This window comes from Homo sapiens, chromosome 10 (genome assembly GCF_000001405.40).
Source record: "Homo sapiens chromosome 10, GRCh38.p14 Primary Assembly".
In the NCBI taxonomy this organism is placed as follows: Eukaryota; Metazoa; Chordata; class Mammalia; order Primates; family Hominidae; genus Homo; species Homo sapiens.
Genome location: NC_000010.11, coordinates 89,281,851 through 89,309,839, shown reverse-complemented (window position 1 = coordinate 89,309,839; position 27,989 = coordinate 89,281,851). Strand labels below are relative to the sequence as shown.

The 27,989-nt window shown below is 42.2% G+C and overlaps 2 protein-coding genes and 2 long non-coding RNA genes across 23 annotated transcripts in view, besides 1 other annotated feature; 2 read left to right on the top strand and 2 right to left on the bottom strand.

The window, feature by feature from the left end:
• The window catches only part of LIPA (lipase A, lysosomal acid type), a 201,108-nt gene that overhangs the window by 104,840 nt on the left and 68,279 nt on the right, over positions 1-27,989 (top strand). For 5 of the 17 annotated variants that reach the window (NM_001440821.1, NM_001440828.1, NM_001440826.1 and 2 more), the window contains one exon: positions 16,172-16,268. The exons of the other annotated variants lie outside the window; for them this stretch is intronic. The gene's annotated coding sequence lies outside the window, so the exon portion shown is untranslated. The remainder of the gene's footprint in view (positions 1-16,171; positions 16,269-27,989) is intronic. 17 annotated transcript variants of the gene reach the window in all.
• Positions 569-7,794, bottom strand: IFIT2 (interferon induced protein with tetratricopeptide repeats 2). The gene is made up of 2 exons (NM_001547.5): positions 7,712-7,794; positions 569-3,878 (listed from the first exon to the last, which is right to left on the bottom strand). The coding sequence occupies exons 1-2, from the start codon at positions 7,714-7,716 to the stop codon at positions 2,465-2,467; spliced, it is 1,419 nt and encodes a 472-aa protein (NP_001538.4). The 5' UTR covers positions 7,717-7,794; the 3' UTR covers positions 569-2,464.
• Positions 7,767-8,086: an enhancer, noted in NCBI's record as "active region_3739". NCBI's record gives its function as "activates an Ori minimal core promoter by ATAC-STARR-seq in GM12878 lymphoblastoid cells {active_cell/tissue: GM12878}" and the evidence as "EXISTENCE:reporter gene assay evidence [ECO:0000049][PMID:35858748]".
• Positions 7,937-17,730, top strand: LOC105378419 (uncharacterized). The gene is made up of 3 exons (NR_188200.1): positions 7,937-8,554; positions 16,172-16,268; positions 17,487-17,730. It is a non-coding gene; the product is annotated as an uncharacterized LOC105378419 (long non-coding RNA).
• Positions 17,715-26,166, bottom strand: LOC124902477 (uncharacterized). Of its 4 annotated transcripts, none has more exons than XR_007062230.1 (3): positions 25,949-26,166; positions 22,618-24,804; positions 17,715-17,853 (listed from the first exon to the last, which is right to left on the bottom strand). It is a non-coding gene; the product is annotated as an uncharacterized LOC124902477 (long non-coding RNA). The 4 variants fall into 4 exon arrangements; XR_007062231.1 differs by having other exon boundaries at positions 24,576-24,804; XR_007062233.1 differs by having other exon boundaries at positions 24,576-24,758.

Sequence of the window (27,989 nt, the reverse complement as noted above, 5' to 3'; positions counted from 1 at the left end):
AATTAATGTGACTTCATTTGTTATTCTTGGATAGTGAAATTTCAGGAAACTGGAGCTATGTACATAATTTTCATTGTTTTCCAATCATTTGTTAACTTTAAGCCCTCATATTAAGTGTAATATGTTATGTTTCCCTTTTCTACCCTTCTTGCTGTTTTCCCACTAAGGGTCCTGTTCCAGCAAGGGACTGGAGGCATGACATGCAAGGACAAGATTACATACATCCATCTTTAGCACACACAGGTACCAAGGGTCCTCTCTCAAGGTCGGCATACCTGTCCATTTTAACCTTCCACTCAGAATACGTGTGGTGTTCCTTCCCAGGCACCAGATGTAGTCCTAATTTACTCAGATCAAGGTGAGCTAGATCTTCCCCTGAAACATACACTTGTCCATTTTGATCCAATGAAATGAGTTTACCTTTGCAGTTGGTGTGATTTGTGTTTTCCATTAGAGGCCTCTTGAAAAATAATAGAGATTTTGGGCCTTCTTGTCTCTTCCTATTCTTTACTTAATAGGGAAGACTCTTTAACATGCATTTGGATTGCGTCCAGGATGGGGCATAAAATGGAATCAGTGACTTTTATTTCTCATAACAGAGGTCAGAATAGAGAAAATGTGATGAAAGCACAAAATTTAACAAAGAAAAGGGGAGCAGCCCACCCACCATCAAGGTGGAGACAGAATGTCTGTGTTCACGTAGGTCAATGGTAGCAGGTGGCAGATGGCAGCTGTTATCCGAAGCCCTGGACTCTTAAAGCTGAGGAAAAAGTTTTGTTCTGTTCAGGTGATTATGATAGTAGACCAGTCGAGGTTATTTGGATTTGGTTCACACCTGTGTAACGTTTCATTTATCAGTAGCTGAGTCTGAAAGATTTAAAGTACAGCAAAATTCCAGATGAACCAGAACACTGCTTTATGTTTTATCATATTTAGGTTATTTATTAATGAAAATATATGACATTTTCAGGAATACAAATTTTGCACCCTGATGACCTCAAATGCGTGCAACAAGATGTTTAATACAGAAAATAACACAAAAACTGTTGTTACAGTGGTTAGAATTTTTAACTTTAAAAAACCATGAATTTGTATTGTTTTAATTGCACAATAAAATAATGTTGATATATACTTAAGCTTAAATTAATTCCAACAGGCAAACATTTTCCAACCCAGAGTGTGGCTGATGCTGGGTCAGCTGACTCTATTTTGGTTCACACCAACTTTGATGTCTAGGCTATTCAGCATCTACCTAGAAAATCTCAATCGTTCCAAGCATACCGTGAATTTTGTGATTTCTCAGAAGATTTTCGGAGTTAAAAGAAGTGTTTATATCACTTAATATCCAACATTTCTAAAGGGGGGAAAACCCCACCATCTATTATCAATGACATTTCCCAAGTCCTTGCACCAGGCCCTTAGTCACCAGGTTCCCACGTTTTGTTGCTTTCCTACCGTCTCAAACCAGGTTCATGAAAGCATTTGAACAGAGTTCAGTCTTCATTTTACAAAAAAAAAAAATTCCTAATAGTGGCTAAAATACTGCAAATTTCTCCATTCGATTACAATCTACAAAGATAAACCAGCATTCCTTTCTCTTTCTCTCTTTTGGTTACTTTTCCCCTATCCCTACTGGTGGAACATTTATTTTTTCACACAGGTTTTAAAGAAATACATTATGTTGGTTTCTAGTGTATTGTACAGAATCCATTCTCATTCTTTACTTGCTACATTATGACTATGAGGAGGGCAGAGTAGAGGTGAACTCTCTGTATACTTGCTGAAAGTCTTCTTGTACACATTGCTTTTTGTACCCGTCGCTTCTAGCTATGTATCTTCCTGTTCTCTGCCCTCGTCTCAAACTATGTTGCCACCTCAATTAATCAGGCACTTGAATTCACATTGTGTAGAATACTCAAGGTTGATGATAGACTGGGAAGGAGGAGGAAGGAGGCAGAGATAAGCGATGGGGGATACTGAGCCCTATTTAGACTTTGGTCCGCCAGCTTTTGGATGAACTTAGCACATTACTGGCTATGCAGGACTAACCTCTATGGGATGCAAAATGACTCCAAGTATGGAACAACATTGCAAAAATGGACTTCAATATTACATGAAGGATTTGGCTGCTTTATATAAATATAGAAACAAGCCCAGTAGATTACTCCACTAAAGGTGACTAAGCAAATGTTACAGTTCAAATTGCACTCAAGAAGTCAATCGAGAAATAATTCTATCACCAAGCCCGTGGACCTACCCCCCAATCTGGTCCCTCTCCCAGAACTCCTTGGGCTCTCTCAAGACCCAGCAATTCAGGTGTTAACATAACCCTGTCCAGTGGTATGGCCAGTGTCTTAGTCCAATCTTTTGCCATACCAGTCATTACATATTTTGAATACCAACTTGGTGGAGGAATTTCAGCTCCCTTTCAGCAGTAGCCTAGTGGGCACCACATCTCTATTCTTCATTCCCCATTCCAGCTTGATGCTGAAGGGATGAGGCTTCCAGACTCCAAACCCCTCTCAGAGTCTTCATCTGCTTGTTGCATTTTTTCATTCAGCTCCTGAAGGAATGCCAAGACATGCAAAGCCTCAGAATCTGCTCCATTTTTAGAAAGTCGCATTTTGGCAATTTTTTGCAGTTTGTCTTTCATCTTTTCTTTCTCCCTTGATTTCTGGTTTATTTTTACACCCTCTATAAAGTGGTGGATGGCCTTGTCTTCACACTTCATTTGGTACAGCTGAAAGTTGCCATACCGCAGATGGAGCAGTTGTTTCGCTACAGGAGTAAGCTCTTTACTGAATTCCTTTTGGAAGTAATACTCTGCGTCTTCATACTGATCTGCTAGAGCATGGAGGCTGGCAAGAATGGAACAGACACGGAAGAGATTATCATTGGCCTCATCAGCTTTCTTCAGATGAGCCACAGCGTGTCCTATTAGTTCCAGTAACTTTCTTTTCCCATACATTCCATTCTCTCTTAGATTCATTACTTGGAAGACTTTTGCCCTATAGCAGCACCCAATTTGGCAATGCAGGTAGGCATTGTTTGGTATGTATTCTAAAGCCTTTTTAAGCAGTTCAATCGCTTTGTCTGGCTCATCTTTTCTTCGATAAAACTTGGCTGCACTGCGAAGAACATCTGTTACACCTGGGGCTTTCTCCAAGGCTTCTTCAACTAACTTCTCTCCTTCACCTTCCTCTTCACCTTCTTCACGCATCTTATGAAGCTTCAGAGCCAGGAGGACTTTAAGGTACTGGTTGTCAGGATTCAGCCGAATGGCTTGCCTCAGAGGGTCAATGGCGTTCTGAGATGGTGGCCAGTTGTCCAGACGGTAGCTTGCTATTGCCAGTCCAGAGGTGAATTCTGGGTTCTTTGGCTTCTTTTCCAGAGCCTTCTCAAAGCACACCTTCGCTCTTTCATTTTGGTTTCCTCCACACTTTAACCGTGTCCACCCTTCCTCACAGTCAAGCTCTGGACTCTCAATTCTATAGGGACTGGAAAACTTCTCACAGACATGTTTCACCTTGTCTACATAAATCTGAACGTCTGAGAGTCGGCCCATGTGATAGTAGACCCAGGCATAGTTTCCCCAGGTGACCAGACTTCTGATTTCTGCCTGGTCAGCATGCTCTTGCTGGATTAACTCTTCAGCTTTACGTAAGCATTCCAGGGCTGCCTCGTTTTGCCCTTTGAGGTGCTTTAGATAGGCCAGTAGGTTGCACATTGTGGCTTTGAATTCACGATTCTGAAACTCAGTCCGGTAAAATACTTTGTCTTCAAAATCATCCAAGGAGTTTTCTCCCTCCATCAAGTTCCAGGTGAAATGGCATTTTAGTTGCCGTAGGCTGCTCTCCAAGGAATTCTTATTGTTCTCACTGTAGGGAAAAACACAAAGATGGACTTTGAGACACAGATTTATATGTCAAGAAATGGGAGCATGGCAAATAAAATGCTCCTCCTCCTAAAGGCTGTTAACACAAATCAAAGAAACTCCCCTTCTTTTCTTTCTATAATATGTTTTTCCTTATTGTTAATTCCTGCATGTGGTAGCAGGAGTTTAGGGACTGTGGGCAGCAGAAGAATTAGGGCGAGGGCAGTGGGTTGTTCTCTGAGTCTGTGGCTAGGTTTTCATGAATAAGACAGTTTTTGTTAAACAGCTCTGCCCTCTCTGCTTTCGAGGGTCTCTGTGGAGGCTTGGTTTTATTTATGTAGTTTTAAAGAAGTAAGTCTTTTTCATTGCTGTTTCTGTTCTTCATTCTTCCCTAGCTTTACTTTTGTACTTTGAAAATTTCAGCTTTATAATTTTTTATTCTTTTAATGTTTTGCCATGGTGATTTTAATTTCTCATCCCTCCGAAATGCAGCTTCATTTTATCTTTGATATTCTTAATTCCTTAGTTCTCCTTCATTTGCCTTTAAAGAAATCTTTATCACTTTCGATTTTCTGTCTATTTCAGCTTTTAATATATCCTTCATTTATTTTGTCTATTCAAACTTTCTGAGCTTTTATCAGATTGGTTTTATTTTGTATTGGTTTATTACTTTAACATGCTACATTCTCATTTTTTTCTGTGAATTTTTCCATTTTAACCATTTGAATCTTATTTTCAACCATTCTTAATTTTTACTCATTTTATCTGCTTTTGTATTATTCTCTCATTTAATTTCAAGTATTATTTATGTTAGCAATGTCTTAAACATTTATTTTGGAATAAAATGTAATTTTTTTTCCTCCCCTCCCCCCCATACCTCTATTTCTTAAACTGGTGATTTCTGTTCTTAACACATCTCATTGAGTTGCTCTATTAATAATTTTGTACTTTATTGTTTTAATTTTTTTTTTGAAATTTTATTTTTCTCTTCTGGGTTTTGCTTTTATAATAAGGGGCAAGAAGTGCAGCTACAGGGAAGGCTCACAAGGCCACTAGCTCCTTTTCTTATAGAAAGAGCTCTTTTTTCTTTAGGGTACCCTTATGACTCTCCTGGAAAGATTTTCCATTCCCTTTAGTGTTGGTCCTCAAAATAAATAAATAAACCAAAATCAACCAAACCAAAAAACAAAACAAAACAACAACAAAAAAACCCCTAAAAAACCCAGAGAACAGACAAATGAGCAAAAGCCTGTATTTCGAATTACTTTGGAGATAAATAGTATTCTATGCCCCAAATTATTTCTCAACACTGTCTGTGTATTGGAGTCTCTGTAATGTTGCCTTTTCTTATTTAAATTTTTTTTTCGTGGTATCTATACAGCAACCCTTGTATCAGGAGCTGTATTTCTAAATAGTATGGCTTCTTATACAACCAATAGATATCTGGAATGTCATGCAATGTGGCAGGATCACTTATGAAACATATGTCTAGATAGAAGATTATGTGACCCCTCTTTCTAACTGCCCCTCTCTCTCCCACTTTTTATACCACTGCTTCCCACTCCCATTTTGATTGGGAATCTTCCTGTAACCTCACTAAGAATAAAAACAGATCTGTTTGGACATGAGCTTTTCAACGGGAATGCATCTGCCATTAGGATGCCTGATAACCAAGCCAAGCACTCTCCGGGGCTCCCGCACCTGGGGTTAGTTACATCAAGGGACTTAGACAACCTGGCTCTTTGCTAAGACCTATTTGGAGCTTTGAATGGAAGGCGGGTCCTTCCTATAAACTCCTGCCTATTTTCCATCCTATTTTTGTTTGTTTGTTTGTTTATTCTGCCTGGGATAGTTAAGTCTCCATTTGTTCCAAGAAACAGAGGTGAGCAGGAACTGATTTAAAGTTACTAGAGTGCTTCACAGGACCATGGGTAGGACTGTAGTGACCCCAGGAGGATCAGAACAGGACACTGGGGAGCTTGGAGGGCTCAGACCCTGTGTTTTCTCCATGTGCATCTCAGTCACACTCTCTACTGCATTCATTACAGAATATGGTGAGTCCTACAGAATATGACCACTCTCAGACCCCAAGCATGTGCAGCACGCATCCTAACACCTGAAGACTCACTATAGCTTCCTTGCTCCCTCTCAATTCTATTTCCAACTTCCAGTTGAGTTTGGGAGCTCATTCCCTTAACACATAAACTCCTTAGCTCCTTTCTCATTTTACAAAAGAAACAGAGAGAGTAAATAGAATTGAGGTTATCTCCACCATATAAAACATAAAGTCTATTGTGCATTTGCAGGATAGAGATATTTAATATACACACTTAGGTAAAAGCCCTTTGAGCAGCCATTTAAAAGGCATCCAACTTCACTGCTTGATTTTGGGTTTTTATTTCCACTGGTAAGTTAGAGAAGCTGATGCCAGACACTTGCTTCCTGGGCTCTGGCTTGTGAGGACCTATTCTCCCGATTCCTATAGAAGTTCCAGTTGTATACACAACAACAACAATTTCTTCCTTTGCCTCTTATCTGGATGAAAGCCACAGTGACATTATCAACCAGGCTCAGAACTAATGCTACCACCGCAGTCTCAGAATCACTGAGGAGCCTTTTAGAAACACACATCCTCAGACTCTAACCCAGACCCACTTAATGAGAATCTCTGGGGAGTCAACCCTAGGACTCTGTCCTTAATAAGCTGTCCAGGCAATTTTTATGCATGCTCAATTTTGAGAACCACTGTCTTAGGGCACAAGGGCAATGCCCAGTGAAAGTCACAATAGATAAAGAATTAAGGAAAGAAAGGACAGATGGGTCTGTATTGTAATGGGAAAAATTCTAAGATAAGACCATGCTAAAATTCTAAGAAATAAGAAAAGGGTTCTATAGATTCTGGGTGACTACAAAAAAAAGAAATCTGTAAATATCTCAAATCTTTTTTTTTTTTTTTGAAATCAGGCAGAACATTTAGACTAGCAGGAAATAATATCGTTTCAAGAAGAGAAATCAGGAACCTCACAGACAGAGGGCAAGGTGTCTCATAGGAAGTAAGCACAGGGGTTGGTAACACGGGATTCCAGAGCTCCCAGGATGAGGGTTAGGCAACCAGGTCCGGCCACCCCACCTTCAAACTGGAGAAAATATTTCCCTTCCTATTCAATGAGCTAACACTTCCTCTCCAGGGCAGTCTCATGTTTTGGGGATAGAAGGGAATGTTAGAGGTGAGAACAGAACTATTTTCTCCAAGCACTCCATCTCTAATTCATACTCAGGAGGCATTTTGGGGTGAAAATATTTAAGTTTACCAGCCCTTGTGCAAATCTGAGATGAAGAACTACATTAAAAGTAAAATTCACCTTTGCAGGAAGTGGGGTTTGCTATTCTGTGTATATCTTTAACAGTATCTGCTGAAAAGAACCCTTTTGTTAAATAATTGTATTACAAGTCCCCAACTTAATCCTTTCAAATATGAAATAAGACAGGGTCAGTGCACAAGAGCAATGCCCCCAGACCCATCTTTAAGTGAAGCACCAGGCCGATGAAACATCATCCCTCTCTGCTGCCTTCTTTCTCTGATTGCAACTCAACTCCCCAGGCGTGCAGTTCTGGAGATGAATTTAGGAAGCTTGCCAGTGTGAAGCAGAAAATTGTTCAGGAGGGAACAAACCACCATTGGTAAGACAGATTTACAACCAACAGAGGTAGAGGCATAGTAAGGCTATAAACAAACACTAAAATGGAGCTGGCCCTCTTTGGGAACATAGCTTCTCAGGATTTGCATTGGACAAGATGACTCAACAGCACTACCGAATACGAAGGGAAAATATTTACCTCATGGTTGCAGTGCAATTCTCAGCTGTTCGGCAGGGCTCGGTTCAGGCAGCTGCACTCTTCAGAAATCTTCCTCTTCTGCCACCAATAAATGCTGAAGAGACCTATATATACAAGTGGCCTCTGGTTCCTTTTTGTTTGTTTCCCTTCAGCTGACGTTACAAAAGGGAAAGTGAAACTAGAAAGTGAAATTGGCAGGACTCTTTTTCTTTTTTTCTTTTTATTATACTTTAGAGGACTCTTTTTCCTCCGGAGCTGAGTTGTGATCAGAGAAAGAAGGCAGCAGAGAGGGATGTTTCATCGGCCTGGTGCTTCACTTAAAGATGGGTCTGGGGACATTGCTCTTGTGCACTGTCCCTCTCTTATTTCATATTCGAAAAGATTAAGTTGGGGACTTGTAATACAATTATTTAACAAAAGGGTTCTTTTCAGCAGATACTGTTAAAGATATACACAGAATAGCAAACCCCACTTCCTGCTAAGGTGAATTTTACTTTTAATGTAGTCCTTCATCTCAGATTTGCACAAGGGCTGGTAAACTTAGATATTTTCACCCCAAAATGCTCTTGAGTAAGAGCCAAGCCCAGCTGCGTAGTGAGTTAGAAGAACTTCCTCTTTGTGGAATGTACTGATGGCATCAAGGGAGCACAACTCCTAGGAGGACACATTTACAAAGCTCCCTGCCTTGTGATTACCATATTAACCCATCTTTGCTCTGCCTTATACCAATATGATCCACAGGCCACTGTAAGGAGCAGTTATTTAGCCTCGACAGGGCAGGGGATTTTAGTCTGAATCATTGCTGAATCTCCAGTCCCTGCAAAACAACCTGCACATTGCATGGTATGGCAAGCATTCCAAAAGTAGTTGTTGACTAAATGAATACATGATTAGAAGCATGGGCAGTGATGTCTGTCTATCTGGATTTGAAATCAGCTTCCACCTTTATGCTATGAAACTCTGGGGAAAATTATTGAATGTCTCTGCTTCGGTTTTGTAAATTGGGAATAATACAACTACTGGTTTATTGTGGTGTTGGGAGGATGAAATGAGAGAATACGTGAAATGTCCTTAGAATAATGCCTGGCAGTAATAAGTAAATGCTAGTTTCTATTATAATTATTAACTAAAATCGTTAACCAAAGTGATCAGAGGGGAAACTCTTTTTTTCAGGCTGGAGTGCAGTGGAAAGATCCTGGCTTACTGCAACCTCCACCTCCCTGGTTCAAGTGATTCGCCTCAGCCTCTCGAGTAGCTGGGATTACAGGCACGCACCACCACGCCCGGCTAATTTTTGTATTTTTAGTAGAGATGGGGTTCCACCATGTTGGCCAGGCTGGTCTCGAACTCCTGATCTCAGGTGATCTGCCCGCCTTGGCCTGCCAAAGTTCTGGGATTACAGGCGTGAGCCACCACGCCCGGCCAGGGGAAATTTCAATGTTGGCTTTTTCCAGAACTTTATCTCCTCTGACATTCAACAATCCATCACAATTACTGACCTAAGCCAAACAATTCCTAACATCTCCTTATGTTCTTGGCTTCCCCAAGCCCCACAATATTTTCCCCCTTTTTATTGATGTATAATAATTTACATATTTATGAGTTGCATGTGAGTGTTTGTTACGTGCAAAGAATGTTTAATGATCAAGTCAGGGTAATTGGGGTATGTATCACCTTCAGTGTTTATCATTTTTATGTGTTGGTATCATTTAAAGTCCTCTCTTCTAGTTACTTTAAAATATACATAATATTGTTGCTAAGTATAGTCACCCTAGTCGGCTATCAAACATTAGAACTTATTTTTTTTATTTAACGGCATGTTTGTACCCATAACCTAACTCTCATCTTCCCACCACCCCCCTTCCCAGTCTCTGGTATCTATTATTCTATTCTCAATGTCCATGAGATAAAGTTTTTTAGCTCCCACATTTCAGTAAGAACATGCAGTATTTGTCATTCTGTGCCTGGCTTATTGCATTTAACATAATGGTCTCCAGTTCCAACTACATTGCTGCAAATTACATGATTTCATTCCTCTTTAATGGCTGAATAATATCCCATTGTGTATATATACAATATTTTCTTTATCCATTTGTTCACTGATGAGCACCTATGTTGATTTCATATCTTTGCTATTATGAATAGTGGTGTGATGAACATGTGAGTGCAGGTATCCTTTTGATTTACTGATTTATTTTCCTTTGGATAGACATCCAGTAGTGTGATTGCTGGGTCTTATGAAAATTCTATTTTTAGTTTTTTGAGAGCTTTCCATACTGTTTTCCATAATGACTGTACTAATTTACATTCCTACCAACAGTGTATAAGAGTTCCCTTTCCCCTGCATCCTTGCCAGCATTTGTTATTTTTTTTTTTAATAATAGCCATACTAACTGGGGTGAGATGATATCTCATTGTGATTTTTATTTGCATTTCCTTGGGGTTGAGTGATGTTGAGTATTTTTTCATATGCCTGTTGGTCACATATACCAGAGCTCCTTTATAGGTGATGAGATGCTTTTCCTTTGCTGTCTTTAAAATTTTCTTTTTGTCACTGACTTTAGATAGTTTGACTATAATGCGCCATGGAGAAGAACGTTTTTCACTGTATCTGATTGGGGATTGCTGGGCCTCCTGTATCTGGATGTCTAAATCTCTTACTAGACTTGGGAAGTTCTCATCTATTATTTCATTACATAGGTTTTCAAACCCTTTCAGTTTCCCTTCGCCTTTGGAGATACTGATAATTCATATATTTGGTCACCTTATGGTGTCCCATAGATCGTGAAGACTTTGTTCATACTTTTTAATTCTTTTTTTTTCTTTATTTTCGTCTTATTGGATTATTTCAAAAGACCTGTCTTCAAGTTCTGATGTTTTCTCTTCTGCTTGGTCTAGTCTACTGTTGAAGCTTCTTGTATATTTTGTATTTCATTCAAGGAATTCTTCAGTTCCAGAATTTCAGTTTGGTTATTTTTATGATACCTATTTCTTTGGCAAATTTCTCATTCATATCCTGAATTGTTTCTCCGATTTCTGTGTATTGTTTGAATTGTATTGGATTTGGAAATCTCTTGTATCTTGCTGAGCTTCTTTAGTATTTTTTATATATACATATATATTATTTTTTTATTTTTTATTTTTTTGAGATGGAGTCTCACTCTGTTGCCTAGGCTGGAGTGCAGTGGTGCGATCTCTGCTCACTGCAACCTCTGCCTCCCTGGTTCAAGTGATTCTCCTTCCTCAGCCTCTCGAGCTGGGATTACAGGCATGTACCACCGTGCCTGGCTAATTTTTGTATTTTTAGTAGAGATGGGTTTTCACTATGTTGGCCAGGCTGGTCTGGAACTCCTGACCTCAGGTGATCCACCCTCCTTGTCCTCCCTAAGTGCTGGGATTACAGGTGTGAGGCACTGTGCTTAGTATAATTTTGAATAGTTTTTCCTGGATTTCTTTTTGATTGGGATCTGTTGCTGGGGAATTGTATTCCTTTGAAGGTATCATATTTCCTTGCTTTTACATGCTTCCTGTGTCCTTTCACTGATATCTGAGCATCTAATATAATAGTCACTTCTTTCAATTTTTGAATTTGCTTTTGTAGGGGAGGACTTTTTCCTGAAGATATATCAACAATATTGGTTGAGTAAGGCACTTCAACTTTGATTCTGAGTGTGCATGGTAGTGTAGCCTCTGTACAATTTATTTGGCTGTGATCAGTGATATATATGATTTCCTTGATGGTTTAGGGTGGGGTTTATTCTTGGAGGCTATCGTGACATTTTACTGGGAACAGGGTTGCCATGTGGGCCAGTCTTCAGGCCCCAGTGGTGGCAGCAGTGGGTTGAGGATGTCTGATCTTCGGCCCCAGAACAACATACACTGGCACTGGTGTTAGTGGGACCAGGTAGGCTAATTCCTGGGCCCCCAGATAGCTTGCTCAGATGCTGATAGTGGCAGCAGTGGGCCAGGTGGGTGAGTGGGTTCTCAAGTCCCTGGGCAGCTGATGTGATCTGGGCAATGGCAGTAGCCAACGGTGGGACAAACCCTTGGGTTCTGATAAGTGTACACTGATGTTGGCAGTGGCTGTGGTGCAGGGTTGCCACCTATACCACAGACACACAGCTCTCAGGCTCTTTCATTCTCTGTAATAGCAACCCCGCAGCACTGTGCAGAGAGAGGAGAGACGCTGTTCTTTAGGTGTGAGCCTAGGCACAGAGGCCATGCGTCCAGTGGGGGTGCAGTCACCACTCACAGCACCAGACAGGCGGCCATCTGGCTTCCCTGCCCCAGCCTCTGGTAGTAGCATCAGTGGCTGTGCCTGCAGCAGTGTGTAGAGGACAAGAAGGGGCTCTGCTCTCTACATGTAAGCCCAAGCACACAGCCTGCTTCACTAGTGGGAGAGTATCTCACTATCCACTTGTGAGGCCGAGTACAGAGTTTGTGGTGCTGCTAAGGGTAGGGTCACTTCTCACAGCCCCAAACAGGAGGCTCTGGAAAGGACATGTTTTAGTTTCCTTTGTATCAGGGGCTGTCTTTTTGGCACATTGCACCATTCTTTCCCTGGGGAGTAGTACTCCCTGTGGGCTGGGGTGCTGCGGACACTGTATTACCTTTGGGTCTAGCCAGTGCTGTGTCACTGTAGCCCACTGGGTGGATACTGGGAAATATCACTGGGGGCTCCTGGGATATGGAGATATGGGAGCTGCGGTTCCCAGGATAGGATGTAATTCCATGACTATAGTCTCACAATGGTGCCGCTTAGGTCTTGGGGGAGCTGAGAGACCCAGCGTGAGTTCCCTGTCTCATGAAATACCCTTGTGGGGTCTCCAAATCACCACCCATACTGGTGTCAGAGTTTGTATGGGTAGAGAAACTCTCTCATGTTTCAGATTGCAGCAGTTTGCAGGAGGGATGTGGACTGCTGAAGTTCTCTCATTTGACCTTTCCCTGAAATGCCAAGGCCCTCTGTTATCCTGGCCAATCTCAGCCAAGCTGGCCACTTGATACCTTCTTCTTCTGCGCCTTGGGTGTTTCCCATGACTTCTCTGTTGAATTCTAGTGTTGTCTCCTAGATGTTCTATTCGAGGTATAATTATCTATTCATAATTTTGGTTCTTCTTTCTAGAGAGGGTGGGTGTCTGATGTCTCTAGTCAGCCATCCTGAACCAGAATCCCCACCATATTTTAAATCCCTGCTTGTTGCCCTGGTATTTGACATCCCCAAATCACAATGTACAGCCATAGTGTTTTGTAATGATAGAAGAAATGTATTTTCCTTATTCATACCCTTAGTCACAAAGGGGGTAATCATGTATATAGGCCCAAAAGAAAATAATAGTACCTCAAAGATTGAGGTCAGAAAATTACACAAAGCACAGATAGAACACATTCTCCAGCAAAACTGAGGTTGTTAAGGTAGGTTATTCAGTCTTGGGAAAAGTTATTTACCATAATTTTTTTTCTGCCTAGGGCAGGGAGGAAAAAGAAACTATCCTTCCTAAAAAGTCTCCACCCTTTGATTAGGATGCACAGCTAAGCCTGTCCCAGTTGGAAACCCTTACTTTTGTGTCTTACGCAAGAGTTTCAAGTTCCTTTTCTGTTTACAAGTTCTTCTTCTTCTTCTTTTTTTTTTTTTTTTTGAGACAGTCTCGCTCTGTTGCCAAAGCTAGACTACAGTGGTGAGATCTTGGCTCTCTGCAACCTCTGCCTACCGGGTTCAAGCAGTTCTCGTGCCTCACCCTCCCAAGTAGCTGGCTACTTGGCCCAGCTACCAGGCCCAGCTGATTTTTGTATTTTTAGTAGAGATGGGGTATTGCCATGTTGGCCAGTCTGGTCATGAACTTCTGGCCTTAAGGGATCTGCCCGCCTTGGGAAGCACTCCCAAAGTGCTAGGATTACAGGCATGAGCCACAGTGCCTGGCTTCTATTTACAAGTTCTATTAGGTACTTACAGAAATGTATGTTAGGTTTTTAAGAAATGCTGAAATAGGAAAGTGGAAATGCTGTGGGTTTGGTTTGATTTATTTTTTGAACTCAGTATTCAAGAAAACTATTGGATAGGAATTTTAAAATCTTGTGAATAAAGGTACTGGTTGGGGAGAAGCATAGAGAAAGGTTTTGCCATGGTCACTGTGCTTTGAAATGGTTGAGATACTGATTTACACTTCAGAAATTTGTATGGCTAGTGCCTGTATATAATGTTACCACAGCAGGTATGCATCAGCTGATTTAGTAGCTGGGTTAGTGTGAGACTATGCATGCAATGTGATTGCAAAATAGCAACTGAAAAGGAAAACCAACTTTCTCCTGGTGTTATTTCTATTTTGAGAAAATGAAACTTATTAGAAAGAGTTCTGCCTAACCTCGTTGCTACAAATATATATGTGTCTTTTTCCTGGAATATAGGCCCTGTTCATATTTCCTAGAACAATAGATTTCATTTATATAGAATATAGATTTGCTTCCTGTTCCTGGAATGGGTTACATCAACTACAGATGGTATAATGCAATAATTCTCATATTGCTACTTGCCACCAGCAATATCAGCATCACCTGGAAGTGCAAATTCTTAGGCCCCATTCTAGACTGATAGAATCAGAAATTCCAGTGTGGGACCCAGAAATCTAGGTGTTGATAAGCCTTCCAGATAATTATAATGGATGCTAAAGTCTGAGAACCAAATAATATATTGAATGTAAGCAAAAATACTTTTACTTCTATAAAATGAAACTCTATGCTTTTTCCTTGAGATTTTTTAAAAAATTTGACCCTCTTTTTTGTTTTGAGTCTATTTTTAACTGAAGTTTTGTCCACCTAGAAGAGCTGGTGACTGTTCAATAGTATTCGCACTTGTTAGAGGAATACTTAGGTAGCCCAGTGGGTTCTCTTGATCCCCACAATGGGCTGTAATTTGAAAACAATGTGTTCCCACCTATATGACATTCCCTTCTGTACTCATTCACAAATACACGTTTAAAATGGTCTTCCACATGAACTTCAAAAATATTGATATAGTTAATAAAATAGCTCCCCATTCTTTTTTCCTTTCCATTCCTTTCCTTTCCTTTCCTTTCCTTTCCTTTCCTTTCCTTTCCTTTCCTTTCCTTTCATTTCATTTCCTTTCCTTTCTTCCTTTTTTTCTTTTTTCTTTTCAGACAGAGTCTTGCTCTGTCACCCAGGCTGGAGTGCAGTGGCGCAATCAGAGCTCACTGTCGCCTTGACCTCCCTCCCAGGCTCAAGTGATCTTCCCACCTCAGTCTCCTGAGTAGCTGGGATCACAGATGAGTGCCACTACACCCAGCTAATTTTTTATTTCTTGTAGAGATAGGGTCTCACTATGTTTCCCAGGCTGCTCTCAAACTCCTGGGATCAACTGATCTTCCTGCTTCAGCATCCCAAAGTGCTGGGATTACAGGCATAAGCCACAGCACTTGGCCAGCTCCCCATTCTTATTCTTTTTTCAAAAATTAATTAAACACCATTTCTTCTTGCTGTGGTTTGAATATGTCCTCCAAAGTTCATGTGTTGGAAACTTGATCCCCAATGTGGCAGTGTTGGGAGGTGGGACCTAATGGGAGGTATTTGGGTTATGGGGGCATTGTCCTCTTGAATAGATTAATGCCATTATTGAGGGACGGAGTTCCATATAAAAGGATGACTTCAACCTTCTCTTGCTCACCCTCACCCCCTATTTACCCTTCCATCATGGGATGACCCAGTAAGAGGGCCCTGGCCAGATGTGGCCCCTTGATCTTGGACTTTCCAGCCTCCAGAACCATGTGTCCATAAATGTCTGTTCATTATAAATTACCCAATCTCCCAATCTGCCCATCTGTGGTATTCTGTTATAGCAGAAAAAAATGGACTAAGACATTTTTCAGCATTAATTTTTTAGACTGCAGTTGGGCAGTCTTTGAGTGGAAACTTGATGCGGGTAAATGACTTTATCTTTCCATAGTCCTATTCAGAAATAAGACCATGCTAAATAAACTTCTGCTGGGACAATTTGTACACTTATCCCTGTTAGAACACTAGGAGTATTTGTTTCATTCATTCATTCACCATTCGTTCATCAAATCAATACTTACTGAGAATCTACTATGTGCCAGGCACCATTCTAGGCTCTTAAGATACATCAGTACACAAAGATCTCTGTCTTCATGGAGCTTATATTCTATCAGGAAGAGATGGCAATAAACAACTGCTTTGGACTGAATTGAGTTCCCAACTCCTTTCCCAAAATTCATCATTGAAGCCCTAACCCTCAACGTAACTTTGTTTGGAGATAGGGCCTGTGAGGAGGTATTTAAGGTTAAATGAGGTCTTAAGGGTGGGGCCCCTAATCTGGTAACCCCTAATCTGGTAACACTGACGTCTTCATACAAACAAGAAGAAAAAGAAGAGACCTCAGATATCTCTCTCTCTCTCTCTCTCTCTCTCTCTCTCTCTCATCTCACACAGAGGAAAGGCCATGTGAAGATAAAGAAAAGGCTGCCATCTCCAGGTCAGGAAGAGAGGTCTCACCAGAAACCAACTTGGACTTCTAGCATCTAGAACTGTGAGAAAATAGATTTCTGTTGCTTAAGCCACCTAGTCTGTGATTTTTCATTATGGCAGCCAATGTAGACTAATACAATAATAAATAAATTAGACAATATGGGACAAGTCCATGGGGAAAAAAAAGAGTAAGTGGAGACCGTAAGAGGAATTACATATGGGTGGAGAAAAGGGGGCCGGGATCTGGCTGCTGCTGTTAAGTAATAGAGATGGAAACTGTGTTAGTCTGTTCTCATACTCTAGAAAGATACTACCTGAGACTGGGAAAGAGGTTTAACTGAATCACAGTTCCATGGGGAGGGCTCAGGAAACTTGCAATCATGGCAGAAGGCAAAGGGGAAGCAAGGCACCTTCTTCACAAGGCAGCAGGAGGGAGTGAATGTAAGCAGAGGAAATGTCAGATGCTTATAAAACCATCAGCTCTCATGAAAACTCACTCATTATCATGAGAATAATATGGGGGAAACCACCCCTATGATCCAATCCTCCCATCAGGTCCTGCCCTTGACACATGAGGATTATGGGGATTATAATTTGAGATGAGATTTGGGTGGGGACACAAAGCCAAACCATATTAGAAACCTTTCTGTGCCTCAATTTCTTCATTTTTAAAATGAGAATTGTGCCCAGGTACAGTGGCTCATGTCTGTAATCTCAGCACTTTGAGGGGCAGAGGCAGGAGAATTGCTTGAGGCCAGGAGTTTGAAACAAGTCTGGGCAACATAGCAAGACCCTATCTCTACAATTAAAAAAAAAAAAAGTAGCCAGGCATGGTGGCATGAGCCTGTCGTCCTAGCTACCCAGGAGGATTGCTTTAGCCCAGGAGTTTGAGGCTGCAGTGAACCAAGATTGCACCATTGTACTCCAGCCTGTGTGACAGAACGTGACTAGGTCTCTAAAAAAGAAAAAGGAATTATGTTAGTATTTACCACATAGGGTTTTGTGGAGATTGAGTGGACTACTATGTATAAAGCTCTGAGAACAGTGCTTGGCACATGGTAAATGCCCAATAAGGGTTAGTTATTACTACCTTCTACTGCCACCCATACCATTTACCATCTTTGAATACCACTTACTTCTAGGGCCAGGGGCCACTCACCTGAAAGTGGTCTGTTCTCTAATGTGGAGCTTTGACTATAGTATTATCAGGTATTGGTGGCTGCCGCTGGATTGCTATTTCAGATCCTTTTTTTCTTTTTATTCGCTTTGTTGGCCACAGTGAGAAACTGGGATGCTACTCCAGAAGAAGACAAATCAGTGCCTCTGTACAAAGGGATCTTTGTGCTGCCAAAAGAGTAGAAAAGTTTATCCCAGAACCAAAATATTTCAGAATTGTGGAAAATCAAGTTTTGGAAACCTACTCAAAAGAAGAAGAAATATTGCTATCACAGAATCCCTGAATTAGTATACACCTAGCCGCTGTAACAAAGATGCTCAAAAACATAAATGACACTGTAAAAGAAGTTTATTTCTTGTTCACATAACTGTCCAAGGCTGGTGTTCCTGGGCAACTTCCAGTTCTCTTCCATGCAATGATTCAAGGACACAGAGTTCTTCCATCCTGTGACTCTACCATCCCCTAGAGCCTGGAAATTGAGAGTAAAGAGGGTACACCTGATTCTTAACCATCTTTACTTGGAAATGACATACATCACATTCACTCACATTCTATTAGGAAGCACTAGTTCATGGCCCACCTGGGGAGAAGTGAAGGTTAGTTCATGTAGCTGCAGAGTAGGAAGCCCCCTTCCTGGTGACGACTTCATATTATGAAGGGGAAACACTAATTTGGAAGGATCATGAGTTGTTTCCACAACAGTATCCTGCTCTGGCCCTAAATAACCATGTATACACTTCTTCCCAAACATAGAACATAATGGGACCTTTCCCAGGGGAGCCAACCCACAGTCAAGGAATCATTGCACTCAGCTCATGGTCAGGGATTTCTGAGTAAAGCACTGTCCTGCCTAAAGGTCAGTATGTGACTCCTTGTGGTCTCATGCTTAAAAGAAAAAAAAAATCAAAAGGCTAGTTAAGACTATATAACTCATGTGTATCATGGTATCATGTATTGTGGTAGGTTAACTATAATAAATACTTTAAACTGAAAAAAGACAGCATGGAAGAATCTCAGGGTGTGGCAACAAATCACAAAATAGGCACCAAAAGAGTTATATGTGGTTACCTCTGGAGACTGGGAAATAGGGTGGAATGGGGAAGGGGGTTGCTATGTCTCCTACCTTGTAGATCACGTTGACTATTTAAATGATGTGAATGTATACATTTAATTAAGCTAAAAAGGAAGGAATCTGGAAGGCAGGGAGGAAGGGGAAAAAATGAGGAAGAAGAGAATGGAGGGAAGGAACAAAGGAAGGAAGTAAGAGGAAGGATTGGAGAGAAGGAAGGAAAAAAGGAATGAAGGAGGAAAGGAAGGAAGGATGGAAGAAAGGAAATGAAAAAAAGAACAAAGAAAGGAGACCGAGAAGTCATCCTACATCCTACATCCATATTTTGCAATATTATTATGAAGCTCTCAATACCCATGTCATTGAAAAATTGTAATAATATCAGAAAACACTCACAATATAATGTTAAGTGAAAGGATAAGATGAAACCAACTGTAACATACACCCTTAACTTTGAAATATTTTCCAAAGAAATCTATTTTATATAGTTTCACTCTTTTCCACGTGAAGAGACCACCAAACAGGCTTTGTGTGAGCAATAAAGCTTTTTAATCACCTGGGTGCAGGCAGGCTGAGTCTGAAAAGAGAGTCAGTGAAGGGAGATAGGGCCGGGGCCGTTTTATAAGATTTGGGTAGATAGTGGAAAATTACATCAAAGGGGGTTGTTCTCTGGCTGGCAGAGGTGGGGGTCACCAGGTGCTCAGTGCGGGAGCTTTTGAGCTAGGATGAGCCAGGAAAAGGAATTTCACAAGGTAATGTCATCAGTTAAGGCAGGGACAGGACGTTTTCACTTTTTTTGTGATTCTTCAGTTACTTCAGGCCATCTGGATTTATACGTGCAGGTCACAGGGGATATGTTGGCTTAGCTTGGGCTCAGAGGCCTGACATTCCTGTCTTCTTATATTAATAAGAAAAATAGCATAAAATAGTATTGAAGTGTTGGCAGCAAAAATTTTGGGGGTGGCATGGAGAGATAATGGGCGATGTTTCTCAGGGCTGCTTCTAGAGTGGGAGAGATTAAGCTGAAGAAAGATTTTGTGGTAAGGGGTGATACTGTGGGGTTGTTAGAAGGAGCATTTGTTGTATAGGATGATTGGTGATGGCCTGGATACGGTTTTGGATGAATTGAGAAACTAAATGGAAGACATAAGGTCCAAATAAGAGGAGGAGAAAAACAGATAATAAAGGACTAAGAATTGGGAGGACCCAGGACATCTAATTAGAGAGTGTCCAAGGGGGTCCAAGAGGGTTTAGTGTAATTACTTGCTTGGTTGGCAAGTTTTTAGGCTCTATCTTTGAGTTTTTTTTATTGTTGTCATATACCAGGCCAGATTGATTTAGGTAAAAACAGCACTCTTCATGTGAAAATATACAGAGTCCCCCCCACCCTTTTTTTTTAGCAGTGAGTAAGTCAAGGCCTCAGCGATTTTGTAGGAAAGAGAAATGCAAAGCCAGCAATTGTTTGTTAAAGAAGGATTAGAAATGGCTAGGAGAGAGTGACTGAGATTGATAGTGTGGTGGAGATAGCTGGGGAGAGGTAGAGGGTGGCCTAAGAATGGGAACGAGAATAAGAGTAAGTGTAAAAGTAAAGAATAGGACTTCATCGGGGTGAAAGTATTAGAGTATACTTTGTCACCAAAGATCTTCTATCCGTTCAAACAGAGACTTAAGGGTGGCAGTTTGAGGTAAAACCAGGCGCCACTGAATACCAAGAGCCTGAGAAACTGCTTGGGTGATTTGACTAATAAAGGCCGGTTCGTTATTAGACTGTATAGAGGTGGAAAGGCCAAACAGAGGAATTTTGTCTCACAGAAGGGAAGAAATGACCATGGTGGCCTTTTCAGACCCTGTGGGAAAGGCCTCTACCCATCCAGTGAAAGTGTCTACCCAGACCAAAAGGGATTTTAGTTTCCTGACTTGAAGCATGTGAGTAAAGTCAATTTGCCAGTCCTGGGAAGAGGCAAATCCCCGAGCTTAGTGTGTAAGGAAGGGAGGGGGCCTGAACATTCCCTGAGGAGCAGTAGAATAGCAGATGGAACACTGAGAAGTGATTTCCTTAAGGATAGATTTCCATGATGGAAAGGAAATGAGAGGTTCTAAGAGGTGGGCTAGTGGCTTGTAACCTACATGGAAGAGGTTATGAAATGACGATAGAATAGAATGGGCCCGTGAGGCTGGAAGGAGATATTTTCCTTGGTCCAAGAACCATTTGCCTTGTGTGGGAAGAGATTGATAGGTGGAAGTTTCAGTGGGAGAGTAGGTGGGAGTGACCATTGAGAAGGAGAAAAACTGGCCGTGAAGGACAGAAGTTGGAATGCTAGCTGCTTCTTTAGCTACCTTATCAGCATAAGCATTGCCCTGAGCAATGGGATCTGATGCCTTTTGATGGCCCTTGCAGTGAATGACTCCAGCTTCCTTTGGAAGTAAAGCAGCCTTGAGAAGAGTTTTTATTAAAGAGGAATTAATGATGGAGGACCCTTGCGTAGTGAGGAAACCTCTTTTTGCCCATGTAACAGCATGGTGGTGCAGGATATGGAAGGCATATTTAGAGTCAGTATAAATATTGATGTGTGGTACTTTTGCAAGAGTGAGGGCCCGAGTTAAGGCAATGAGTTTGGCTTGCTGAGAGATAATGGAGGGGGCAGAGTGGTAGCCTCAATGATAGGTGTGGAAGATACTATAGTATAGCCTGCCTTTGCTGGTGAGTGGAGATTAGGCCTGGTGGAACTGCCATCAATAAACCAAGTGTGATCAGGATGAGGAACAGGAAAGAAGGAAATATGGGGAAATGGAGTGAATGTCAGGTAGATCAGAGAGATACAGTCATGGGGGTGGGGGCCAGCCTAAAACAATAAGGTCAGGTTGTTTGGACAGAAAGGCTACAGGATGCAGTCCTGGCTCTTGTGTAAGAATTTTGACTGCACAGCCCTGTACTTTCGCTGTGTGTAATGAAAAGGGTTGGGATGAGTTAGGGAGAGCTAGCATGGGGGCAGCTTCTAGGGCTGTTTTTAAGGAATGGAAAGAGGAGTGGCAAAAGGATTTAGGATCTATGGGGTCAGCTAGGTTTGCTTTTGTCAGTTTACATAATGGTTTAGTCAGGATGGTAAAACTAGGTATCCAAAGGTGGAAATACCTAACCATGCCTAGGAAGGAAAGCAGTTGTTGTTTTGTAGAAGGAGTTGGGGTTTGGGAGATTAGTCAGACATGATCAGCAGGGAGAGCACATGTGTTTTCATGGAGAATTATGCCAAGATAGGTAACAGATGAAGAAGAAATTTGGACTTGACTGAAGTAATGGGGGCTGTCCGCAAAGCCTTGCAGCAGTACAGCCCAGGTAATTTGCTGAGCCTGATGGGTGTCGGGGTCAGTCCAAGTGAAAGTGAAAAGAGGCTGGGATGAAGGGTGCAAAGGAATAGTAAAGAAAGCATGTTTGAGATCCAGAACAGAATACTGGGTTGTGGAGAGGTTGTGGAGGGAGGTATTGAGGACAAAAGAGTGTACGAGTTGGGCACTACAGGGTGGATAGGCAAAACAATTTGGTTGATAAGGTGCGGATCCTGAACTAACCTGTAAGACCTGTCTGGTTTTTGGAGAGGTAAAATGGGGGAATTGTAAGGAGAGTTTATAGGCTTTAAAAGGCCATGCTGTAACAGGCAAGTGATAACATGCTTTAATCCTTTTTAAAGCGTGCTGTGGGATGGGATATTGGCATTGAGTGGTGTAAGGGTGATTAGGTTTTAATGGGATGGTAAGGGGTGCATGATCGGTCACCAAGGAGGGAGTAGAGGTATCTTATACTTGTGGGTTAAGGTGGGGGGATATGAAAGGAAGACATGAAGGAGGCTTTGGGTTGGGAAGAAGGGTGGCAATGAGATGTGGCTGTAGTTTAGGAATAGTCAGGGAAGCAGATAATTTGGTTAAAATGTCTCAGCCTAATAAGGGAACTGGGCAGGTGGGGATAATTAAAAAAGGGTGCATAAAAGAATGTTGTCCAAGTTGGCATCAGAGTTGGGGAGTTTTAAGAGGTTTAGAAGCCTGGCCGTCAATACCCACAACAGTTATGGAGGCAAGGGAAACAGGACCTTGAAAAGAAGGTAATGCAGAGTGGGTAGCCTCTGTATTGATTAAGAAGGGAATGGACTTACCCTCTACTGTAAGAGTTACCTAAAGCATCTGTGATGGTCCAGGAGGCTTCTCAGGTGATCGGGCAGTGTCAGTCTTCAGCCACTAAGCCCAGAAGATCTGGGAAGAAGTCAATCAGAGAGCCTTGGGCCAGAGTTCCAGGGGCTCTGGGAGTGGCTGCCAGGTGAGCTGGACAGTCTGATTTTCAGTGGGGTCCCACACAGATGGGACACAGCTTAGGAGGAATCCCGGGCTGTGGGCATTCCTTGGCCCAGTGGCCAGATTTCTGGCACTTGAAGCAAGATCCTGATGGAGAAGGTCCTCTAGGAATGCTTGACTGCTGCGGCTTAGGCATTTTGAAGTTCTTGTGTGCTGGAGATGTGGCTGGGGTTTCTCTCACAGTGGAGGCAAGGAATTGCAACTCAGAAATACATTGTTACTTGGCTGACTCTACTCTATTATTGTACACCTTGAAGGCAAGGTTAATTAAATCCTATTGTGGGGTTTGAGGGCCGGAATTTAATTTTTGGAGTTTTATTTAATGTTGGGAGCAGATTGGGTAATAAAACGTATATTGAGAATAAGACGGCCTTTTGACCTTTCAGGGTCTAGGGCTGTAAAGCATCTCAGGGTTGATGCCAAACAAGCCATGAACTGGGCTGGGTTTTTATATTTGATGAAAAAGAGCCTAAACGCTAACTGATTTGGGAGAGGTTGGATAAAGAAAAAGGAGCATTAACCTTGACTATGCCTTTAGCTCCAGCCACCTTTTTAAGAGGAAATTGCTGGGCAGGTCCGGGAGGGCTAGTCGCAGAACGAAACTGGAAGCTGGACTGGGTGTGAGGAGGGGAGGTGATAGAAGGATTATAGGGTGGGGGAGCGGAGGCTAAGGGAGAATTGGAACTGGCTCGGCCTGGCTAGGAGCAGCCTGGGGAGGAGGGGAGAGGTCAGATGGGTCCGTAGAAAAGGAAGATTGGAAAGACTTAGTGACACTTGGGGTTGGAACTGAGGGGACAGGCAGGAGGGAAAGAAGGAAGATTTGGGATGAGTTGCATTGGGAACAGAGATTAGGGAGGGACGAGGGACCGATGTGTAAAAGAATGCCTGGACGTCAGGCACCTCAGACCATTTGCCCATTTTTCGACAAAAATTATCTAGGTGTTGTAGGATGGAGAAATCAAAAGTGCCATTTTATGGCTCTTTGGAACCACTGTCGAGTTTGTATTGGGGTTAAGTGGCATTGCAGAAGAAAATAAGGCATTTGGGTTTTAAGTCGGGTGTGAGTTGAAGAGGTTTTAAGTTCTTGAGAACACAGGCTAAGGGAGAAGAAGGAGGAATGGAGGGTGGAAGTTTGCCTATAGTGAAGGAGGCAAGTCCAGAGAAAAGAGAGGGTAGAGACACAGAGAGAAGGGGTGGGGGGTTCTTGCACCCCAGGAACATGGGGAAGGGGTGGGGTGTTTGTCCCCCAGGGAAGTGGAGAGAAAAGAGAGGGTAGAGACACAGAGAGAAGGAGTGGGGGGTGCTTGCCCCCCAGGAAAGTGGAGAAGGGGTAGGGGGTCCTTGCCCCCCAGGAAAGTGGAGAGAAAAGAGAGGGTAGAGACATGGAGAGAAGGGGTTGGGTGAGCAGCCCTGGGCTGCAAATGTGGGTGAGCAGCCAAAGCAGGTGTCCCCACAATTGCCTTGCCACTAAGGGAATGTGGGTGAATGACCAAGGCAGGCATCCCCACGGTGATCAGACACCAATGAAATGTGGGTGAATAATCAGGCAGGCATCTCTGCAGTGATTAAACACCAAGGGAAGACTGTCTTCCCGAATCTGTGACCAGCACTGGAGTTTTGAGTCCACAGATAAAACACATCTCCCGTATCTCTACCAAAAAAGGAAAGGAATTGAAATTAAGAGAAGGGAAAGATTGAAGTGTGGTGCCGAGATTGAAAGGAGAAAGAGGTTGAGGGATAGTGAGAGAGATTGGAGAAGAGAGTAAAGACAGGCCACTTACCCGATTTAAAATTGGTGAGATGTTCCTTGGGCTGGTTGGTCTGAGGAGCAGAGGTCGTAGGTGGATCTTTCTCTTGGAACAAAGAGCAGGAGGACAGGGGATTGATCTCCCAAGGGAGGTTCCCCGATCCGAGTCACGGCACCAAATGTCACTCGCGTCCATGTGAAGAGACCACCAAACAGGCTTTGTGTGAGCAATAAAGCTTTTTAATCACCTGGGTGCAGGCGAGCTGAGTCCAAAAAGAGAGTCAGTGAAGGGAGATGGGATGGGCTGTTTTTATAAGATTTGGGTAGATAGTGGAAAATTACAGTCAAAGGCGGATGTTCTCTGGCTGGCAGGGGTGGGGGGCACAAGGTGCTCAGTGGGGGAGCTTTTGAGCCAGGAAGAGCTGGGAGAAGGAATTTCACAAGGTAATGTCATCAGTTAAGGCAGGGACAGGCCATTTTCACTTCTTTTGTGATTCTTCAGTTACTTCAGGTCATCCGGATTTATACGTGCAGGTCACAGGGTATATGATGGCTTAGCTTGGGCTCAGAGGCCTGACATATAGCGTATACAGGTGTACACAGAAGCATAATGTTTAAATATTTTAATTTCAGTGGGTGATATAAGGGGCAGTATGATTTTTTTTCGCTTATACTTGCTGGCATTTTTCCAAAGTTTCTTTAGTGTGCCTATAGTATTCATATCCTGAGAAAAATCTTTCATGATTCTAATCTTTTTATTATTATTATTTTTTAAAGATCACTGAGAACTAAGAGCAAAATGCAAAGGGAGATCTTTTTGAGGTCTGATCAAGCCCAGCTTCACTGGAGGCTTTTAGGGGCCTCAGAGGTGTAGATGCTGGTTTAGTGCCTGACTGTGGCTCCTTAGAAAAGAACCAGCTAAATGCAGCCTGTCCTTTGCTAGAGCTGCCAATGCTGAGCTCTGACACAGAGAAACCCTGCCTCTATGATGAATATAGCCTCATGCTCCTGACTTTCAAATGAAAAACAGAAACACACATGCTTGTTAAGAACGTTTCAGCCTGGTTTGCATCATTAACTGATGAAAATGTGCCTGCAAGGACAGAATGAAATAGATTTGCCCCTCCTCCTCCAGCAACCCCTCCTATGAGGGACGTTCGTCTCTGGCTCCAGGCTCTGGCCACTTCCTGGTTAGGATTGCTAAAGGCTTCCATCAGGGAATGTTGATATGAGTCTGGAAGCGCCACAGATTTTAAAATGCCTGAATTAACAAGAAACAAGTATTCTCTAAGATATGTTAAATATTTAAGCAGATGCCCAAATCCAGCACCTAAGAAAATCTACCTTGAGGTTTTCAAAGGCACACAACATAATTTCAAGGGATAAATGCAAGAAAAAATCCTTTACCTCATGGTCGCAGGCTGGGCGCTGCACTGGTGTCCTGCAGTGTTCTGGCAAAGGCTGATTTGCTGCTTAGAAATCTGCCTGAGCTGATGGCAGATTCAGAGGAAAGGAAGCACTGTGCTGCTGATGAAGGATACCTTTATGTGTACTTGCAAATATGAAATGGAAGTGTATCCTGGCAAGTACAAACAACATAACTACACTGGTTTCCTGCTGGAGGGAAAGGAGATTTCAGCAGGGAGAGCTTTAATCTTTCTGGCTGGGCACTCAACTGGAACAACGTTTAGGGGGAATAGTGTGTAAGGAAGTTCAAGGTAGATGAAAATTTACTAGAAGGAGGATTAGCAATGTAGTGGTCAGAGAACCAGAAATCTAAAAATGACCACAGGACTAGGGTGGATTCCGGAGAACTGTTGTCATCACTAGCTAATATTAATAGTGACATCAGTAGCTAATGTTAAAAGAAAAACCTTAGACAAATTAAATTTAGTAGAGTTTAATTGAGCAAAGAATTATTCACCAATCAGGCAGACTTCCGAGCCAGAGTGGCCTCAGAGAGACTCCGGTGCAGCTGCCTGGTAGAAGATTTATGGACAGAAAAAGGAAAATGACCTATAAAAAACAGAAGTGAGGTACAGAAATGGAAGTGTTGGTTACAGCCCAGCATTTGCCTTATTTTAACATGGTTTGAATGGTTGGCCACCTTTGATTGGCCAAAACTGTGAGTGGCACAGGAGTAGGTTACAGTCTGTTTACACATCCAGTTAGGTTATAGTTTACTATGTACAGAAAAACTGTCAGGGTGAACTTAAAATATGCAAGGAGGCAGCTTTAAGTGAAACTTAATTCAACACTAATATTGATTGAGAATTTTTGCTCAGGGCTTTATAGGACTTACCTAATTTACTCCATTTTACACTCATGTGAAATATGGCCATTTAACAGATGAGTAAGAGAAGATTCAGAGAACTTAAGTGATATGCCCAAGGACAGAAGTCCAGGTCTGCCCAATTCTAGAACTTCCCTTGTTCAGTGTGTTCCTTAAGTGCAGCAAGTCTCTGGATCTAAACTATATAGTTTCTGATTTCAACTCTGAAATGCACTGCTTGTGTGAACTTGCATCCGTTCTTCATCTGTAAAGAGTGGTAGCACCTATTTCATAGGCTTGTTGTGAAGCTCTTAGAATAGTGCCTGGCACATAATGGATTCGATGAAAGTATCTGTTTTCTTTCTTTCTTTTTTTTTTATTTTTTTGAGACGGAGTTTCGCTCTTGTTACCCAGGCTGGAGTGCAATGGCACGATCTCGGCTCACCGCAACCTCTGCCTCCTGGGTTCAAGCGATTCTCCTGCCTCAGCCTCCTGAGTAGCTGGGATTATAGGCATGCACCACCATGCCCGGCTAATTTTTTTGTATTTTTAGCAGAGACGGGGTTTCTCCATGTTGGTCAGGCTGGTCTCAAACTCTCAATCTCAGGTAATCTGCCTGCCTCAGCCTCCCAAAGTGCTGAGATTACACGCATGAGCCACCATGCCCGGCCAAAAGTATCTGTTTTCATTTGCTGTTCAGAATGAGTTTTGGCCTCAGCTGTATTTCCTACTTCTGTCACCAACTGTTTGTGATATTAGATAAATCATAAAACAGGTCTCAGTTTTATGCTCAGAGAAATAAAAATCGTTGGTCTGGATGATCCTTCCAGGACCTTTCTCAGTATGAAATATGATGACTAACATTTCATGAATCCATATCCTGGAATCAAGTTCAAGGTGCAAACCAGTCTAGGTCTGAGGTTCTGGGAAAGTCACAGTAGTTCTGTGCCTTGGTTTCCATCTCTGTGGAATGAGAAGAGTAAAGTTGATTAACTCTTGCCTCATCAACAGCAACAGTGTAGACCCTGCATGTGAATGCACATGGAACACTAAAGGGAAAACTCTAATAGTACCATAACTGTTTATTCTGATGGAGAACCAAGAGCCAGGGTTGAATATCTCAGCCAGGAACACTAAGTAGGGATAGTATGTATAGTTCTCAGTAGCTGGCCCTAT